Here is a 20,068-nt window from a genome sequence, read left to right on the forward strand (position 1 = left end):
AGGTGCCACAAGAGCAGAGATAATGGTGAGGCAGATCTCTCCACCCCCAATTCACCTCTGTCAATGCCAGGAGGTTTGATTAAGTAGGAAAGGAGCAGTGGCCTCTCCTACTGGCTCTGGCACCCAAAGCCACACACTCCTGGTGACACTCTTGGGCATGAGACTTTCCCTTGCTGCATATTGCGCCCTTGAATGCAGGCACAGTGTCACCTTCCAACTCCTTCTCACTTGCTGAAACTGAAACCCCGGCTCTCGGGTCTGGAAGAAAAACTATAAGATTACCGCGGGAGTGTCTGACCAGCTTCCCTTTGTATACTCCCAGATAGGTGCTTACACACAGCCACGTGGACTTGTGCACACACAAGCTGGCTTTGTCACTCGAGTTCACATTGTCCCTCCTGCACGACATGTCAGATTCTGGTTCCTCGCCCATTCACAAAGCGCAGCTTCTGGCGATTAAACAAGGGAAGCGATGAACAGGTCTCACTGGCCACAGTTTCTCTTCTCTGTCAATGATACCAAGAGCACTCATGCCTAGAGCCGAGACCCTGTCCACCTTGCAAGAAAGGAAATCTGTCAGCCAACCCATCTCTGTCTGGAAAGCCTGGGGAGGGGGCTGTTCAGAGGTCCTGATGCCCAGGTCACCACTGGGCCTACGTGTGTGCTCCAAGTCTTGAGAGAATAAAGGCTACTTCTTAGATCAGACTGGGACCTCTCTGTTCCTGGCCTCTTGCCCCCGCCCTGCCATCTGCCGGCCCCAAGAGGGCAGCACAGGTGGGTCTTTTCTGCTTTGACTGGTTAGTGATCGTGAATACTTGAGTCCTGGCTCCCTAACGCTTTGAAGCCTTTATTTTGGTTTTTGTATAGAGTTTTTTTTCTTTACTGTAAAAATGTTTAATCATTCAGAAAAGTAGAGATATTGTTAGCATTATTATTTTAGGATTGGGGTAGACACTTTTGTGTGTTTAGCCAGGAAAATGGCAGCTCCTGCTGAACCAGGAGCACAGACCCCTGGGTTCAGGGCCTCAGCTCTGCCTAGACGTACTGTGTGATGCCTCTTTGTTCTTCACCAAAGAAGACAAAGTAGGGGCAGGATACTCCTGAGGTGCTGCAGACCCACCTACCTTTGCTCACTGAGGACTCAGGAGTGTGCGCCCACGTGCACATGTCCTATCCCCCTCCAACGAGAGAAGTTAGGAGCTTGAGTTCTAGAAACAGGGTCTTTGCTTTGCCACTTCCTGCTCTGTGACCTTGAGAGAGTTCCTTTCCTGCGTTCAGATTCAGTTTCCCCATCTGTAAATTGGGGCTTATTATATTAGGGCTGCAACCTTATAGGAATGTTGTAAAGAATAAAGAAGTGGAGCCGTGTAAGATGCTTAGCTCAGTGCCTGGTACAAACACTATTGCTGTTGCTATTGTGATTATTACTATTATTATTTTGATTCTACCCAGGCCTACCCGCCCTTTTTTTTTTTTTTTTTTGACTTGGAGTCTTGCTCTGTCACCCAGGCTGGAGTGCAATGGCGTGATCTCAGCTCACTGCAACCTCCGCCTTCCAGGTCCAAGCAATTCTCCCACCTCAGCCTCCCAAGTAGCTGGGATTACAGGCACCCGCCACCACGCCTGGCTAATTTTTGTATTTTTAGTGGGGACAGGGTTTCACCATGTTGGCTAGGCCAGTCCCAAACTCTTGACCTCAGGTGATCCACCTGCCTCGGCTTCCCAAAGTGCTGGGATTACGGGCGTGAGCCACCACACCCGGCCACCAGCCCATGCAGCCCAACCCCTGTGGAGTTACCACTCTTCTACAAATTTGCAAAGTCTGCATTCCAAGTGGCTATTTCCTCTTAGGCGTTTGGCCTGAGTTGTGGCATACCATGCGATAGGTGTGCAGTGATGTGTAATTGTGGTCCAAACAGCAGAGCTTAGTAGGCAAATGCCATTGCCATCTCTATTAAGTCAGCAAGGGGGTATCATTAAGGATGCAACATTGTTGGGCACCTATAGAGGGCTGGAGGTGTCAGGTACATTACCTCATTTGTCTTTCTTAATGGCCTTATGAGGTAGATAATATTATTAAACCATCTCACTGGTGAGGATCTTGAGGATCAGGGAGATTCAGTCAATGATATGCCAGCCTGAGGTCACCAGGTGGTAAGAACCAGGGCTGGGATTTAAGGCCACTGACTGCACAGCTCATGGGCTTCCTGTTTCTTCAGGCTGCCTCTGGCTCCATTTTTTAAATGATACCAACTAAAGCAGTGAGAGCAACCTTGTGAAAATCTAAGTGCCTACTATCTGTCAGACACTGGTGAGGGGCTCATGGGGGCTCACAACAATGAGGTGTTTTTGCTGGTCTGGAGGAGTCTGGAGGCCACTTGGAGGAGATAAGACATTTAGTAATAGTAGTAGTAGTAGCGCCACTACTCATAATATAAATAACATCAGCCACAATAGTTAATGCTTACTCTGTGTCAGGCACTTTTCCAAGAACATTATTCCACAACCCCATAAGACAGGTATTGTTATTACCCACTGGTCTGTAAATGAAATTCTGAGGTCCAGAGAATTTAAGGTGCGCAGAACTTGCACAACTTGCTAGTGGAAGATTCTGTGTCGGGACCAAGACTGACTCCAGAGGTGACACCCTCAAACTTGTCATCTGCTGTGTGCCAGTTACCCACTTTTCACAATTCTTTTTCAAGTTTGGGATTCTCATGCTCACTTAGGTGTATATAAATGTGTTGGCCCTTTTGTAATTTTTATTTTTGCAGAAGTATTTAATGAGAGCATTTTAAGTGCTGTGTTACTAACCATAATGACAATAACTACTAAATGTCTTGGTAGTGAGGTTTGAGGGCCTACTATGTGCCAGGCATTGTGTTAAATGCTTTGTTTGCATTACCTCATCTTTTTTTTTTTTTCTATCGCCTAGGCTGAAATGCAGTGGCACAATCTCAGCTCACTGCAACCTCTGCCCTCCGGGCTCCAGTGACTCTCTTGCCTCAGCCTCCCTAGTAGCTGGGATTACAGGTGTGCATCACCACGCTCAGCTAATTTTCATATTTTTAGTAGAGACGGGGTTTCACTATGTTGGCCAGGCTGGTCTTGAACTCCTGACCTCAAGTGATCCTCCTGCCTTGGCCTCCCAAAGTGCCAGGATTACACGTGTGAGCCACTGCACACAGCCTCTCATCTCATTTTCTCAATGTCCTTTTGAGGCGGGTAATATTATTGTCACCTCTGTTTTCCAGATGAGGAAACTGAGATTTTCAGTTGCGAAGTCACGTAATAAATGGTGAGGCCAGGAAAATGGTTTAAGTCCAGGCAATCCGTCTCCAGGTTTAGAGCTCTTAACCCAAAGCTCTTCATGAGAGAGAAGCTTATGGAATCCAAGGGAGAATTTCCCTATACTGCACCCCAGTCACACTCTCCTCCTCCCCCTCAAAGAGCTTTGAGGTAGAATTTTCCGAGAACCTTTATATATGTATGACAATGTATAGAGAGATTTTTCCTCATAAATGTGATCATTCTGTTGTATTGTTCTGCAGATTTCCCTCCTTTCATATTGATATATGTAGACCTAGTTCATTCTTTTAACTTCTACCTAATATTCCAGAGAATGGGCTTACCATAATTCACCCATTGACGGACATGTGGATTATTTCTGATTTTTTGATATTGAATGCAATGAGCAATGCTTCCTTGGGTATTCTAATACCGGCTTTTCAGGCACATGTGCTCAGCAGCTAGAAGTGGAATTACTGAATGGAACAGAATGTGCCTTTAATATTTTTCTAGTTGTTGCCAAACTGTCCTTCAAAAAGGCTGCATGCTCCCCCCAAGGCATATGGGAGGACCCCCATTTCCTGATCTGTTTACCATTAATGGCTATTATGCATATTTTTTTCCATTTTTGCTAAACTCATATATGAAAAAAAAGTCTTCATTGTTTTAATTTCCCTGGTTACTACTGAGACTGGGGACCTTTATATTTATTTGCCTTTTTTTCTGTCTTCTTTACTCTTTTTATAACCCATTGATGCATATGCTTTGCCCATTTCTTGATTGGGTTGAGGGTTTAAGGTTCTTATAATATTAATTTCCTGATGATTAAAGTAATACATGTTAAACGAAGAACATCAGAAGACACAAAAAATAATAAAGAAAATGGATATCACACATAATCTCACCATCCAGAAATAACACTTGGCATCATATTGGTGCATTTTTGCCACTCTTTTTCTCTGTGCAAATATATGTACTTTCTTTCTTTCTTTCTTTTTAAACGGACTTTTGCTCTTGTTGCCCAGGCTGGAGTGCAATGGTGCAATCTCGGCTCACTGCAACCTCCGCCTCCTGGGTTCAAGCAATTCTCCTGCCTCAGCCTCCCGAGTAGCTGGGATTACAGGCATGCGCCACCACACCTGGCTAATTTTGTATTTTTATTAGAGACGGGGTTTCTCCATGTTGGTCAGGCTAGTCTCGAACTCCTGCCCTCGGGTGATCCACCTGCCTTGGCCTCCCAAAGTGCTGGGATTACAGGTGTGAGCCACCATGCCCGGCCCAACATATGTACTTTCTACCTCCATTCCTAGCATAGCCTGGTATATATGGCCTTGGACCATTTTCTCCACTTGTCACTATAAAGGGGACATTTTCCTATGTTATTAAATATTTTAAATGCTATTTTTATATTTGCTTAGTATTGATCCAATTGATGTGTTAATATTTAATCATTATTCTAATTGCTAGACATATATAGGCTGTTTCCAGTTTTCCACTATTATATAATAAATAATGCTACAGTGAACATCTTTGTACATAAATCTCTGTCCACATCTCTGATTATTTCCTTAGGATAGATTTCTTCAAGTGGAATTACTAGATCAAAGGGTATACATTTTTAAAGATTTTGATCCATATTGCCAAATTGCTTTCTAGTAGGGATACATTGATTTCCATCCCCATTCACCATGTATGGGACATATATTTAACTGCACACTTTACAATTTAAAAAAAAAAAAACACTTTTCAATTGGAAGGTAAATGTATCTCTTTATTGTCTTAATCTTCATTGTCCCTTGCAGGGAACTTAAACATATTTTCCACTTCTCTTGGCCATTTGTATTCTACGAATTGTCTCTCCATGTTTTCTGCCCACTTTCTACTGGACTTATCCTCATGTTTTAGACAAAAAACCTGAGGTTCAGAGTAGCTGAGTAACCTACCCAGTTACATAGTTGGCAACAGCTACAGCCAGAATCCAAACCTCTCTTACTCCAAATCCTGAGCTCTTGCCCTGTGCTGCTTCTCTATGACTCTAGAGCAAGAATCAGCAAACTACGACTCAGCCTGCTGACTGTTTCGTAAATAAAATGTATTGGATCCTGGCCACGCCCATTTGTTTACTATCATCGATGGCTGTTCTTGCACCATGGCAGAGGTGAGCAGTTGCGACAGAGACAGTATGGCCAATAAAGCCTAAAATATTTACAATTGGTTTTACAGAAATTTTTTTTTTTAAGACACAGTCTGACTGTGTCACCCAGACTGGAGTGCAGAGGCGTGATCTCAGCTCACTGCAACCTCTGCCTCCCAGGCTCAAGCGATCCTCCCGCCTCAGCCTCTCAAGTAGCTGGGACCACAGACATGTACCACCATGCTTGGCTAATTTTTTGTATTTTTTATAGAGACAGGGTTTCACTATGTTGCCTAGGTTGGTCTCAAACTCATGAGCTCAAACAATCTGCCTGCCTTGGCCTCCCAAAGTGGTGGGATTACAGGCGTGAGCCACTGTGCCCAGCCCCAGTTTTACAGAAATGTTTTATGGAAAACATTTGCCGACCTATGCACCCACTGCTCTGGAGTAGCACTAGTATATCATTTCAAATGTCCTAGTAGCCCTCTTTTAAAAAGTAAAAAGAAACAAGTGAAATTAATTGTAAGAATGTATTTTATTTTCTTAATAATATCAAGATGTTAATATATAAGCACATAATTCGTATAAAGATTATTAATGAGATTTTTGCATTTTGGGGAGGGATATTATCTTTGAAATCTGTTTTATATTTTGCACTTAGAGCACGTCTCAATTTGGACTAGTCAAGTTCAAGTGTTCAACTGCTACATATGCCTAGCGGATTACCTTAAGAAACAATACAGCTCAAGAGCCCCAAGTTTTTCACCTGTGAAATGGGGATGGTGCTAATATCACTCACTTTGCAGGATTGTTGCAAGACTTGAATGGGAAGCTGTGTGTGTATACAGTTTGTAAAGCACTGCATACCCGCAATGGCGATGATTATAACTATGGGCTGGGGGATCTAGGGTGACTTGCCTTTCACTCTCAAGATGAGTAGAAATTTGATAGGCAGAGTGTAGTTATTGCTGAGAATAACTCCAATGGTTACACACATATATACTCATACCATGTTTTTGTTTGTTCTCTTCACTGGATCAGTGTCTTCTGAATAGTATTCAGGGTTAGAGAGGGCGGGAGTAAGTCTTGCTCACTCAGTGCAGAAGAGATTGTTCCATTAATTCCTCAAATGCCCCATTTCCTGTGGGCTGTGCCTACGGCCACTGGAGGTGTCTGTCTCTGAACTGCCCTGCTTGGCTGCCAAGCAGAATTAAAATTTGTCTTTTTAATTTACCACTTTATTCATCTATCAAATACTTACTGAATACCTATTGTTCAACAGCCTCTGAGATGAGAGTTCTTTTCCTAAAGGATTTCCTCAAAACATATAACTACAACAAAGCTACTGAAATTAAAATGAAAAACAATGAGAAAGAGGTAAACATGTTTAGGCATAGAACCTGTGTAACATGAATTTAGGCTCTGAGCTTCTTGGCAACCAGGGCAAAAAGGGAAATATATTAGATTACATAATTTCCACTATCTGGGAGAAAAATGTGTGCTACTTTTTTTTTTTTCTAAAAGAGACAAACTGTTCCTTGGTACTACATTCAAGCAGGTCATCATCACACAAGGCAGTCACACAGGGACTCTGAGCAGCATAATAGACAAAGCCTCCAACTGCAGATTTACAGCAAGTGCAGCCGTGGTCTTCCTGTGCTTGTTTCTTGTGTCTGCCCTCAATAAAAGCTGAGGGCACCATGGTAAAGCTCAAACGCAATGGAGGCAATACTACAGGAATCCAACCTATGTAATCCAGGTATGTGGCTTTCTAGGGATTTAGCTTGAAGCAAGGAAGGGGTTTCGAATGCCCATGGGAAGGTCTGCCCCAGCTGTCTCTGAAATCCAGTCCATCCTCTTCTTTGCCACTGCCACCACCTAGGGTGAGTCCTTGTCCTTTCTTGCCACCTCTCTGGTCTCTCTCCTGGACTCTCTTCCATTGAGAGCCAGTGATCTCTCTGCTACACAGACCTGATCATCACCCCAACACTCCACCAGCTCAAAATCCATCAGTGATCTAAGTGGTGGGATTTGGGGTGAATTTGTTTGCACTCAGCTTGGAATTTTTAATCATTGTTTGAATTCTTTATAATAAGTATGGATCATACTTGCAAAAACAGTAGGATGATTTTATTTTAGAAAAAAAAATCTGGGTTGAGATGCCCAGCTGTGCCAAGATGCTAATAGTGGTTAATTCTAGGTGGTGGGACTATGGGTGGTTGTTACTTTTTACTCTATATTGAAGTATATGTTTAAAGTTTACAAAATCATTTAGTCCTTCTTTTTTGCTTGTTTGTAACCTGAAACCCACTCACTCCTCCTCTGAGCTCTCCTTTTGCATAGTGACATCATTTATTAGGCACCTACTGTGTACAAGTCACTCTTAAAAAATAGTACTGGATTTAAGCCATATGTTGAACCCATTTCATGGATGAAGGAACTAAAGTTTCAGAGTTTATGGAGGAATTTGCCTGGGGTCACAGGGCTGGAGCGACAGAGATGTGATTAGGACCAGCAGTCTGCAGCCAAACTTCCAGTTTTCCTTTACACTCCAGTCTCCTACTCAGCACATTGTTTTTTGTTTTTTTTTTTAATTTTTAATTTTTATTAAAAAAGATTTTTTTTTGAGACAGGGTCTTTCTCTGTCACCTAGGCTGCAGTAGCTTACTGCAGCCTCGACCTCCTGGGCTCAAGTGATCCTCCTGCCTCAGCCTCCCGAGTAGCCGGGATGACAGGCACGCTCTACCATGCTCGGCTAATTTTTGAATTTTTTGTAGAGATGAGGTCTCGCTATGACCCAGGTTGGTCTCAAACTCCTGGGCTCAAGTGATCCTCAATCTTATCCTCCCAAAATGCTGGGATTATAGACATGAGCCATGGTGCCTGGCCTCATTGGCTCTTTTATTTCTTTTTTTTAATACTTCTTTTTTTTACTTTTTTTTTTTTCCGAGACAGGCTCTTGCTCGATCACCCAGGCTTGAGTGCAGTGGCGTGATCACGGCTCACTGCAGCCTTGACCTCCCGGGCTCAAGTAATCCTCCTGCCTCAGCCTCCCAAGTAGCTGGGATTACAGGCATGTATCACCACACCCAGCTAATTTTTTTAAATTCTTTTTTTTTGTAGAGACTAGGACTTGCTATGTTGCTCAGGCTCATCTCAAACTCCTAGACTCAAGTGGTTCTCCTGCCTTGGTCTCCCAAAGTGCTGGGAATGGGCGTGAGCCACCGTGCTGGCCTCTTTTATTTTATCTTTCTTTTCTTTTCTTTTTCTTTTTTTTTTTTTTTTTTTTGAGGCAGAGTCTCACTCTGTCACCCAGGCTGGAGTACAGTGGCAGGATCATAGCTCACTGCAGCCTTGACCTCCCAAGGTCAAGCAAGCCTTCTCACCTCAGCCTCCCAAGTAGCTGGGACCACAGGCATGTGCCATTGCCCCCAGCTAATTTTTCTGTCTTTGTTTTTTGTTTTTGTAGAGGTGGGGTCTCCCTATGTTGCCCAGGCTGTTCTCGAACTCCTGAGTTCAAGCCATCCACCTGCCTCAGCCTCCCAAAGTGCTGAGATTACAAGCATGAGCCACCATGCCCGGCCCTCTTTTATTTATTCACACCAGCATAGTACTTGGCTTATTCTAGATGTTCAATAAATGTTTATTATTACACACAGGTGCTTCCTAAATCTCACTTCTATGGTGGGAAATTTTTGAAATACTGACTTTTTTCTTCCTTCGTAACATCCCTTCCTTTTACCCCTCGGTATCGTTGCCTCAAAGGACCTCAGAGGATGAGGCCTGTGCCCAGGCAGACCCCTGAGAGCCAAGAGGGTGTGGCTGAGAGGTGGCATCTAGATAGCTTCATGGAGAATCCAGTGCCTCAGCAGGAGGAGCAGACCCCCTAACGTGCCTTCCATCATGACCTGGAAGGACACAGAACTGAAAGTGCCACTTGGACAAGAAAGAAGATCCTCTTAGAAGGCACCTGGGTGAACAGATCACATGGACGATCACGTGATACTCTCCCCACCCAGCCTCCAGCACTACAGAAGCCCTCCCAGACTTAGACGGAAGTCTAGGGAAAGGACGAGAACTCCGAGGAAATTCAAAAATCACTGAGACTGAATTTTTTTTCCACTGCCAGTGGCACAAGGACTCAGCATGGAAATTAAATTGCATTAAAGAAAAAATGTTTTATCATAAGAGTCTCCGGACTGAGACTTTTACTACACTGCCCCTATCTGGGCATTTGCTCGGCTGGAGAAACACATTTCAGGGTGGCACTGGCCTCTGAGCATGCGGAAGGAAGTGTGGAATTCTAAGCCACCTACTGAGGGCAGGGAGGTACTGGGAGTTCGGAACCCAGAAAAGCAGACAAACATCCTGAGGCCAAAGTTACGGAGACTGATAGGTGTTCTCCCCACCGGGAAGGTCTCCCCTTCTGTGTGTGGAGGTGGCAAGGAGGGCCCTCTTGTTGGCAAACTTAGAGCTTCCTCCCAAGGTATTTTGGACCCATTACGCTCTCAAACAGGAACCTAATTAAATATATATATTTATATATATATTTATAAATATATATATTTATATATATTTATAAATATATATATTTATATATATATTTATATATATTTATAAATATATATATTTATATATATTTATAAATATATATATTAATATATATATTTATAAATATATATAAATATACATATACATATATATTTTTTTAAGGGATGGGGTCTCTCTATGTTGCCCAGGCTAGTCTCAAACTCCTGGGCTCAAGCTGTCCTCCTGCCACAACCACCCAAAGTGCTGAGATTACAGGCGTGAACCACTGCACTTGGCCCAGGAACCTAATTTAGACCCAGAATTCCACACCATTGACCATGGAAAGAATGATCTTGGCCTGAGAAACTTTTAGAGCAGATATGACGAGTTGCCTATGTCTGCATCGTTAGTGCCCTGGTGGACTCTCTCCTTCTAAGCAGCACAGCTCCCTGGGGGACCTTCAAAAAGAGTGAGCCATGAAATGGCCCCCCAGGGGATAAAAAAGAAGGGAGTCTGCTGAATGAAGTTACTTACCAGTGACCCTGCCAATTTGAGCCTCCGCCCGGCAAGGACAGTGAATTTGGCTTTGCCATGGTTGATGCTGTCAGAGAGAGCTTGGGCGGTGGGATAGGGAGGGGCCGCGTTAGTGGACCAGCTGGGTGGCTGAGATGTGGTGGGAACATCACTGTGCTCTAGTTGCAAAGTCTGGTGCCAGTTTTCACTCTGCTCTTACCAGCCTGGCCTGAGAAACCCACTGCCTCTTTCTGAGCCTTGGTGCCCTCCGTTAGACATAACTGCCTCACATGGTTGTGGGGAGGGCGCTTGGTAAGCTCTTGGTGACTTCCCCTAAGAATCTGTCATCCTATTTCACTAGCAGCAGCCTCATCCAGTCTTAGCTGCAACCCCGTGTCACCCGTGGAAATCCCGTTATCCCATGAAAATGCTGTGATTCAATGCAATTAGGATAAAGAGGGACCTGGGGGCTACCACCAGTGGTTACACTGCAGCTGGAAAGCAAGTGGCCTCTTTACTACCAGTAAGCGCGGGGTGTCCTTCAGCCGAGCCAGTCAGGACGCTGGTACTGGGCCTCCTGGATGACCCTACGCCTTCTTTAAAGCCAGATAGCCCATATTCCCGGCAAACACTTTCATTATGCTCTTCTTTTGGGGCGTGGTGAGGTTAGTGTTAATTGCGGGGCTGTTCATAATAAATCAGCTCTGAGCCTGGAATTTTTGTTTTTGTTTTTGTTTTGTTTATTTTATTTTATTTTGTTTTATTTTATATTTTTGAGACAGAGTCTCCCTCTCTTGCCCAGGCTGGAGTGCAGTGACACGATCTCGGCTCACTACAACTTCCACCTCCCAGGTTCAAACAATTCTCCTGCCTCAGCCTGCCAAGTAGCTGGGATTACAGGTGCCCGCCACCATGCCCAGATAAATTTTTTTTGTATTTTTAGTAGAGACCATTTAGTGAAACCACTTAGGTTTCACCATTTTGGCCAGGCTGGTCTCGAACTCCTGACCTCAAGTGATCCACCCACCTCGGCCTCCCAAAGTGCTGGAATTACAGACGTGAGCCAAGGTACCCGGCCAGTTTATTATTATTTCAGAGACAGGGTCTCACTCTGCCACCCAAGCTGACCTGCAATGCTACCATCATAGCTCACTGCAGTCTCAACTTCCTGGTTCCACCTCAGCCTCCCAAGTAGCTGGGACTACAGGCATATGCCACCACGCCTGGCTAATTTTTGTGGGTTTTTTTGTTTGTTTTTTGTAGAGATGGGTTCTTGGTATGTTGCCCAAGCTGATCTCAGACTCCTGGGCTCAGCCAATCCTCCCACCTTGGCCCCCCAAAGTGCTGGGATTACAGGCATGAGCCACCACAGCCAGCCATTTTTGTTTTAGTTGGAATATGCACAGCAAGAAAGCCACTGGGGCATCAGCCTTTCCTGTACATTACCTCATTCCATCCTTACTACGCTCTGCTGAGGCAAGGTAGGCAAGCATTGTTTTACCTTTTCAAATCTATTTTGTATCTCTCCATCACCTCTGCCATCTTCCTAGTCCAAGCCACTGTCAATTTTTTTTATTAAGGTTTTCTAAGGTATAGTTTATATTTAGTGAAGTGCACAAATCCTAAGCATACAGCTGGATGAAGTTTTACACCCAGGTAACCACTGCTGAGATCAAGCTATACATTCCCAGCTTTATAGCAGGCTTCCTCTACCTCCCTACAGCCATTATCCCTCCCAAGGATAACAGCTATCCTGACTGCTATTCTTACAGATTCCTTCTGCCTGTTTTTGAACTTCATATAAATAGCACCATGCAGCGTGTCCTCCCTTGTGTTGTGAGATTCACCCATGTAGCATGCATCAATCGAGTCGTTTGTTCTTTTTAACTGCTGCATAATGTTCCATTATGTGAATAGACCATAATTTATTTGTTCATTCTATAACTGGTGGACATTTGAGTTGTTTCCAGCTTTCAGCTATTACAAATAAAGCTTGTGTCTTTTAGCGGACATTATGCTAGGTCATAGAGTACATTTATTTTTAGCTTTAAAAGGTACTACCAAATATTTTTTTCCAAAGTAGTTACATTGATTTACATTCCCCCCTGCAGTGTATGTGAGTTTCGGGTGCTTCACAACCTCATCAACCCTTCTTGGTAGTCTCGGTCAGTCTTGTAAAATTTAACCACTCTGATGGGTCTGTAGTAGAATCTCATGGAGGTTGTACCTTGCGTTTCTCTGATGATAAATGATGTTGAGCATCCTTTCATTTGTTTATTGCAAGCCACTGTTATGCTCTCATGGGTCACTGTGCAGAACTCCTACCCAACCTCGCTCTTCCTGCTCTGGGCCTCTCCAATCCCTTCTGTCCAGTACAGCTGCAGCAAAGAGTATTCCTAACATAGCATTTTGGTCCTGTTGCTCTCCTGCTTAAAACCCTTCTATAGCTTTCCCTTGCCCTTTGGATCAAGGGCCAAATCCTTGACCTGTTCCTGCTTTCCCAGGACTCCTGCCTGCCTCTCCAGCTTCATCTAAGATCATTCTGTCCCTTGTACTTCAGCCACTCTGGTCTCTTTTGGGCATGTGAGTTGTTTCCAGGTTTTAGCTATTACAAAAGCTCGTGTCTTCTCCTTCCCAGCATTTATCTTATATTCTGTAATTATATGCTGATTGTTTGATTGATGTCTGTCTCTGCTACTAGACGGTAAGATCCATAGGAGCAAACCCTACACTTGTCTTGCTCATTTTGCATCTCTAGTGCCTAATGTAGTGCCTGACACATAGTAGATCCACAGTGCATATTTGTTGAATAAGTAAATACACTGATATGGTGTGTCCCCACCCAAATCTCATGTCAAGTTGTAATCTCCACATGTTGAAGGAGGGGCCTGGTGGGAGGTGATTGGATCATGAGGGCGGTTTCTAGTGGTTTAGCACCATTAGTGCTGTCTCGTGGTAGAGTTCTCATGAGACCTGGTTGTTTAGAAGTGTGTAGCACTTCCAGGCCGGGTGCGGTGGCTCACGCCTGTAATCCCAGCACTTTGGGAGGCCAAGGCGGGTGGATCACGAGGTCAGCAGTTCGAGACCAGCCTGACCAACGTGGTGAAACCCTGTCTCTACTAAAAATACAAAAATTAGCCTGGCGTGGTGGCATGCACCTGTAATCCCAGCTACTCAGGAGGCTAAGGCAGGAGAATCGCTTGAAACCGGGAGGCAGAGGTTGCAGTGAGCTGAGATTGCATCATTGCACTTCAGCCTGGGCGACAGAGCGAGACTCCGTCTAAAAAAAAAAAAAGTGTGTAACACTTCCTCCTTTGCTCTCTTTCTTCTGCTCTGCCATTTGCCTGCTTCCATTTCACCTTCCTCCATGAATGTAAGTTTCCTGAGGCCTCCCAGTTATGCTTCATGTATAGCCTACAGAACTGTGAGTCAATTAAACCTCTCTATAAATTACCCAGTCTCAGGTAGTTCTTTATAGCAGTGTGAGAACAGACTAACATGTACACCTCCAGTTTACAAATTAAGAAACTGAGGCTCTGAGAGGGAAGGTGCCCTCAGGTTGCAGACCTGGAGCTAGAAGCCACATTTCCTGATTCTTCAATGCTCTTTTCACCGTACCCCAATGCCTCTGATGAGATGATGAGTGAAAACATTTTGCTGTTGCTTTTACACAATTCTAGTGTAAGGATTGCTGTGTTATGACTATCGTCGTTGTTATTATTATCGGATGGACATCAGAATGTCAGCTCCAGGAGAGCAGCAATGGTGTTTCATTTTCCACTGGATCCCAGCACCTCAGTACAGTGCTTGGAACAGAGGAGACACATTGGTGGGATTGACAGTTAACTATTGGTTGAATTGCAGCATTGTTGGCATAGACTAGTATAAAGAAAAATGTCAGCTCCTTTTAAAAGCAGATGCTATGGAACTGTTCATATGTTTTCATTTTGCTGGGACTTTATGGGACTGATTATTGTTTAAATTAAGAAGCTGGTGACTGGTACCTGGAAATCTGTCACATGCTAAATGGTATTCACTGAAACTCAGTAATCCCAAACTTCCTCTGGTTGCACTCAGGCAGGTTGACCTTCATTTTCCCCCTTGGGAAAAAGTTACCTTGAATCATGAAGGATGGAAAAAAGAGGACACTCAAAAGGCCACAAGGAACCTACCAAAGAGAATTAGGGCTTTGCTCATTGTTGGCAAGCAAATTGCTGCTGCTCATTGCAAATGAATCTTATTTGTCCACCATCAAGTCTTATCTGCTCATCGTGGCGGGTCCTGCTGCTGCGCTGCTTGGCAGCAGATGGGTTCCAGGGATGGCAGCTCCATGGAAGTAATAAAATGGCATTTCTTTTCCAATTGTCTCTCATTGAGACCTCTTGGTAATTCAGATTGATTGTCTTACAGCCCAGCACAGGGACTGACTGAGTGAAGTTTGTCTGGGCCCGGGCTTTTATTGCTGTCTCAGGAACTGAATGATATACACAGCCAGATTATTCTCCAGCTGCCCAAGGGTTCTGTCCTTTCCAGTCAGGGGCAAGCCCTGAAGGTGGGTGAGGCGAGGAGGCTCCTTCAAGTCTGGAACCAGGCTTCTGGACTCCTGGCCCAGTGCTCTGTTTAGAGCAGCTGATACATTACCAGGAACAGGCCTATGATAGTCTTCATCACCTGCCTCAGCCAGGACCACGGTGCCTCAGCATTCCCAGTGGCTTTAGGCTTTGTCTGCAGTGGGAATGTCTTGTCCATCCCCTAAGATCCATCCATCTGGGAGTCCCAAGATGCTCCCAGAGGTGCAGCCCCACACCCTTCCTGTGGCTCTGCCTAAGCTCTTGGTGCCTGAGGGAACGGAGAGAATCAACAGCTTCTTAGTTTTGAGCTGTTTATCAGTTTTTTTGTTTTTTGTTTTTGAGATGGAGTCCTTGCTTTGTCGTCCAGGCTGGAGTGCAGTGGCACAATCTCGGCTCACTGCAACCTCTGCTTCCTGGGTTCAAGTGATTCTCCTGCCTCAGCGTCCCGAGTAGCTGGGACTACAGGTGCATGCCACTACGCCTGGCTAATTTTTGTGTTTTTAGTAGAGACGGGGTTTCACCATGTTGGGCAGGCTGGTCTTGAGCTCCTGACCTCAGGTGATCCACCAGCCTCAGCCTCCCAAAGTGTTGGGATTACAGGCGTGAGCCACTGTGCCCGGCCCGTTTTGTTTTTATGAGCAGGGAGAGTCAGAGGTTCTGGGGTGCTGAGAGTGAATCTGGGGTCTGGCAGGGCACTATACACCCCCTCACCCCAACAGCTAAACCAACAGCTAGAATCTCTGCTCTGAAGGCTCTTGAAAGTCCTGTGTTGAAAGGGCCAGACCCCCACCCCTGGGAGCAAGGCCAACCTCGTGTCCCCTTGTACCCTCTCCTTTCTATTTCTGTAAATTTTTTTAGTTCTCCTCCTGGCCCTGTCTCCTCTTTCCCTCATTTCTGTATCCCCATCCCCTCAGACCCATCTACCCCTCAACCCCATCTGACTGCCGATTGAAAAGGCCTGATAATAATGTGAAATAATATAGTATCACCCAGAGGCTGCTGACAGGCAGTGTGGCCACCTCTGAAAACAGGCAGGGAGGCAGGGAGGGCAAGGAAATTATAGGCTGCACAAAGGAGAAAAAGTTAAAGTGAGAGCTCCATAAAAGAAAGTGGAACTATTATGCTGCAAAATGCCAACTCATTACAAAGCGGCCAAATAAGAGAGAAATACGGCGCTGCCTGTAATAGCAGTTTACAAGGGAACATTGTACAGCAACAGAAGAGACGCTGCTATAATTTGCTCTAACAACTCCAATTATCCCTTTTATTGATTTGGCAACACATTTAATAGGAGTAGCCACACCTCTTCTGTTACAAATCATTAAAGGTGTTGAACGGTGTAATTTTAAAATTGTCCTCCTACAGTTGTCAGTATGACAGCATAATTCCCCCTGATTTCGGCTATGTAAACACCGAGGCACAGTCATTTCCCCCTTACAAGGCCAGAGATGTTGTCAGCCTGGGGTTTTTGTGCAGAAACATCCATTTAATGCGTATCTTTTTTTCCCCAGCCCGCACTCCTAATTGCAGTGAGGTTTGGTTTACTCTTTTTTTTTTTTCCTTTCTCTCTCACTCCTTCCCTCTTTTCTTCCAACTAAGAGGTGTGTGTGATGGGGGAGGTCAGGGACGGAAATAAACAGGCGGTTTGGTCTTCTCTTTCTTCCCTGGCAGCCTTAATTGCTACTTAAGCGTGGGCCCTGCACTTAACATCCGGGGGGCAGGCCCGGTGCGTGGTGCACGCCGGGCGCGCTGTGCACAGTCTCCGGAGGCCGCCAGTGCGACCCCGCCCCACCCGCGCACCCCCGCCCGGAGGGCCCCAGCGCGCATGCGCTCGCCGCAGGGCGGCCTGCGGGGCTGTGGACGCGAGGCCAGCTCGTAGGGGGCTGGGCGGTCAGCGGGGTCAAGGGACAGCCACGCTGGGACGGAGGACGGGGACAGGGGAGCCCCTGCGGCGCCACTTCTTCCTCTCCGAGTCCTGTCTGCCCTTGATGGAGCCACTGGTGGGGTTACTTGCTGGCGGTCGGCCACTTTCGCCCCTCCCTCGCCAGCCCGCCAGCTCCCTAAGGTTTTGTGGTTTTTTGTCACCACCACACCTCAGTGTTGAGCTAAGTGAGGACGTCCCCCCAGCAAATGTATTGGACGGAAGGAAACGCTGTGCGGGAGGAGGCGGAGGAAAGTAGGCCACCCGGGGCTCAAGTGGTGAGAAGAGGCAGCCAGGCAGGGTGGAAGGTGGGGTGTGGCCAGCTTGTTGGGTGTCCCACCCTGTGCTGTTGGGGGCGTGGAGGGTAGTGTGGGGTGGCCAGGGCGGGCTCACGTCCTCATCCCCCTCCTCTTTCCCAGAACCACACCCAAACCCTCTTCAACCCCCTGTGTGTGGGCTGTGGCAGGGGTCAACCTCTTGTGTTCAGGTCCCCTAGGGGCCCACCCCACTCTACTAGGAACCAGGGGTCGGATGCTGTCAGGGGAAGCCGTGTGGCTTGAGGAGTCGAGACCCTTTCCAAATCCACCCCTGTGGAATCTTGAGCAAATCCCCACACCCAACTTAGCTTCAGTGTGGTGGAGGTGGGCCCAGCGCCTCTCTTGAGGGAGTGCTGCTGTAGGTACCTTCCAGCAGGCCAGGCTCCTGAGCTGGGATCACCATGAAGCTGGCATCTCTCCTGGTAGCACCTATTCTGGGGCCTTGAGCTCCGACACTCTTACGCTGGAGTTGAACTTAAGCTGCAGCGGGAGGGCTTTAAGCTAGACCCGCAGAATTTGAGCTCTAAGGACTTGCTTAAGATTGGGAGAGTAACTTCTTCTGCAAGGGGGCCAGCAGAGGGGCTCTCGGGTTGAAGGAGGGTTATGCTGGCCCAAGCATTGCCATCATAGCCACAGCTGGGCTGTGCCTCAGAGTCTGCAGGAGCAGGGCCCTTGGCCTTGGCTCCCAGGACAGTTGGGAGATGGAGGGCAGCCCCAGTAGCTGCCATCTTCCTGTCATCTACCCACACGTCTCCAGATCTGTTTGCCTGCATCAGGGCCTGACTCCTGCCCCACATGGGCCTGTGTACCATTCAAGAAGAAAGCTTAGCTGTCTCCAACCCCGGCATTCCCACAAGGGAAAGCTTGAGATCTGCTGAGGGAGGGTCCTGGGAAGAGGCCTTCTTCTGTTCTCCTGTACAGCAGAGGTGTTGGCATGTGCACGTGTGTGTCTGCATGTGTGTGCATCTGTGAACATCTGTCTGTGGCTCTCGTTCTGAGCACCTGTGTGTCTCCGCTTCTGCCTTGTTCTGTCTTGGCACCTCTGGGTGTCTGTATGTCTTTTTCTAATCCTGGCTCTCTTCTTGTGCTTCTCTGGGCCTCGTCTTTTCATCTTTGTGTTTTTTGCTTACTGTATTGTAATATCCATTTCCATGCTGGAATTCTCCTACCAGACCATGGGCTCTGTGAGGGCAAAGACTGTCTTTTATCTTCCCATGTGTGCACATAGTAGGAGCCTAGTACATTTCTGTGGAGTAAATGAATGGAGATCTGGCTCTGTTAAGAATCCCTTAGTGTCTGTGTCTCTGGCTGCCTGACTTTCTGGGTCTCTGTGACCCTCAGAAGCTAGTTTTGTGGTTCTGTGTAGGGGTATACCTGGTTTATTCCCATGCATATGTGTATTTCTTGTGGTAGTTTTTCTCTCCTTGTCTATGTCTGTTTCAGGTTTGTTGATCTGCCTGAATGTCTCTGCATGTGGCCCCACATCTCTCCTCATGCCTGCTGGTCTCAGAGTATAATGGATGCTGAGTCCAAAGCAGGTGTTTCCTGGGCATTCGTGGCAGGGGAATTGGACTTCCAAATCTGCCCCCTCTCCACGTGGGTGAGCTTCTCCCAGACTCTCCATCATAAGAGGCTGTGAGCACCCGAAACTGATCACCTTCTCAGCCTAGAATGGGAGTGAGCTGTGGTCCTCTCCCTCTCTTCCTCTCACTGTGACCCCAATCACAGCACCTGCCCTTCTCTAATTGGCTGATGTCAATGGAAGGGGGAAGGGAAGGCTGATGTCCAAGGAGGAAATCCCATTAGGTGAGCCAGAGCCAAGTTATTAGTGGTTAAGATGTAATTGGAGTTGGTGAATAATCTCATTCAATTCATCACGTATTTATGGCGCATCCAGCTGTGTGACCTTGGGTGCGGTGTTTCACCTCTCTGATGAAATAAGACCTTAATGTTTGCCAAGGACCCTGGATTTCTGAGATTCTGAGTCCCTGAAGCTGGAAGGAATCTCTACCGAATTCCGATCACTTGCTGCTGCCTCTCTCCTTGCTTCTGAGTTATTTGTGCAATTACCTGCATTCCCTCCTAAACTCTACATTCCTTCAGGCCAGGGTCTTATATAACTATCCCCCACAGTTTAGTGCCTTGCACACAGTGGGTGATTTATCAGTTTTTCTGAATGGATGACTGAATGCTAGGCACTGTGATTAATAACAAAGAAATAGAATTAGAAGCCCTGTGCTTAGGCAGTATACAATTTTAGGGGAACGGGGAGGGCGGAGATGACCTTTGCACTTTATATTATAGCTTTGGGAACTTGTGTGAGTTCCTCAGCCTCTTTGTGCCTCTATCTCCTCATTAATAACATGCAAATAATAACGGCTACTAACTAAGGATTTTGTGAGGATTAAATGTGATCGTATGTACAGTTAAATCCTTCGTGTAGTGTTTGGCACTTAGTAGATCCTTAATTAATGTGTGTTCCTGCTCTATTCCCAACTAGAGAACAAGCACCAAGCCCTGTGGATTTCAGAAGGTGAGAAATCACTGATGGGTGGGGTTTTTGGATTGAAGCTGGGGAGTGGGGATCTATAGCGAGATTTCTAGACTGCTTTATTGTACCCTATGCTTCTTTTTTTTTTTTATCTCCCCTCACTTCCTCCCCTCCCAACACACATGAAGACAAATAGCAGGTGCTCAGAAAGTATTTATTGAATTAATGCAGAAAATGAAGCCCATTTCTTTGTGGCTAAAGATAGCAGATCTCAAACCAGGCTTCTCAATGGAATCACCTGGG

At 46.0% G+C, this 20,068-nt stretch overlaps 1 long non-coding RNA gene across 3 annotated transcripts in view; it reads left to right on the forward strand.

The window, feature by feature from the left end:
- Positions 1-20,068, forward strand: part of LOC105371750 (uncharacterized) — a 115,553-nt gene that overhangs the window by 47,680 nt on the left and 47,805 nt on the right. The window contains exon 1 of one of the 3 annotated variants that reach the window (XR_001752870.2): positions 16,953-19,807. The exons of the other annotated variants lie outside the window; for them this stretch is intronic. This is a non-coding gene — a long non-coding RNA (uncharacterized LOC105371750). Of the gene's footprint in view, positions 1-16,952; positions 19,808-20,068 lie in introns of those variants that run through there. 3 annotated transcript variants of the gene reach the window in all.

This window comes from Homo sapiens, chromosome 17, assembly GCF_000001405.40.
Source record: "Homo sapiens chromosome 17, GRCh38.p14 Primary Assembly".
Lineage (NCBI taxonomy): Eukaryota > Metazoa > Chordata > Mammalia > Primates > Hominidae > Homo > Homo sapiens.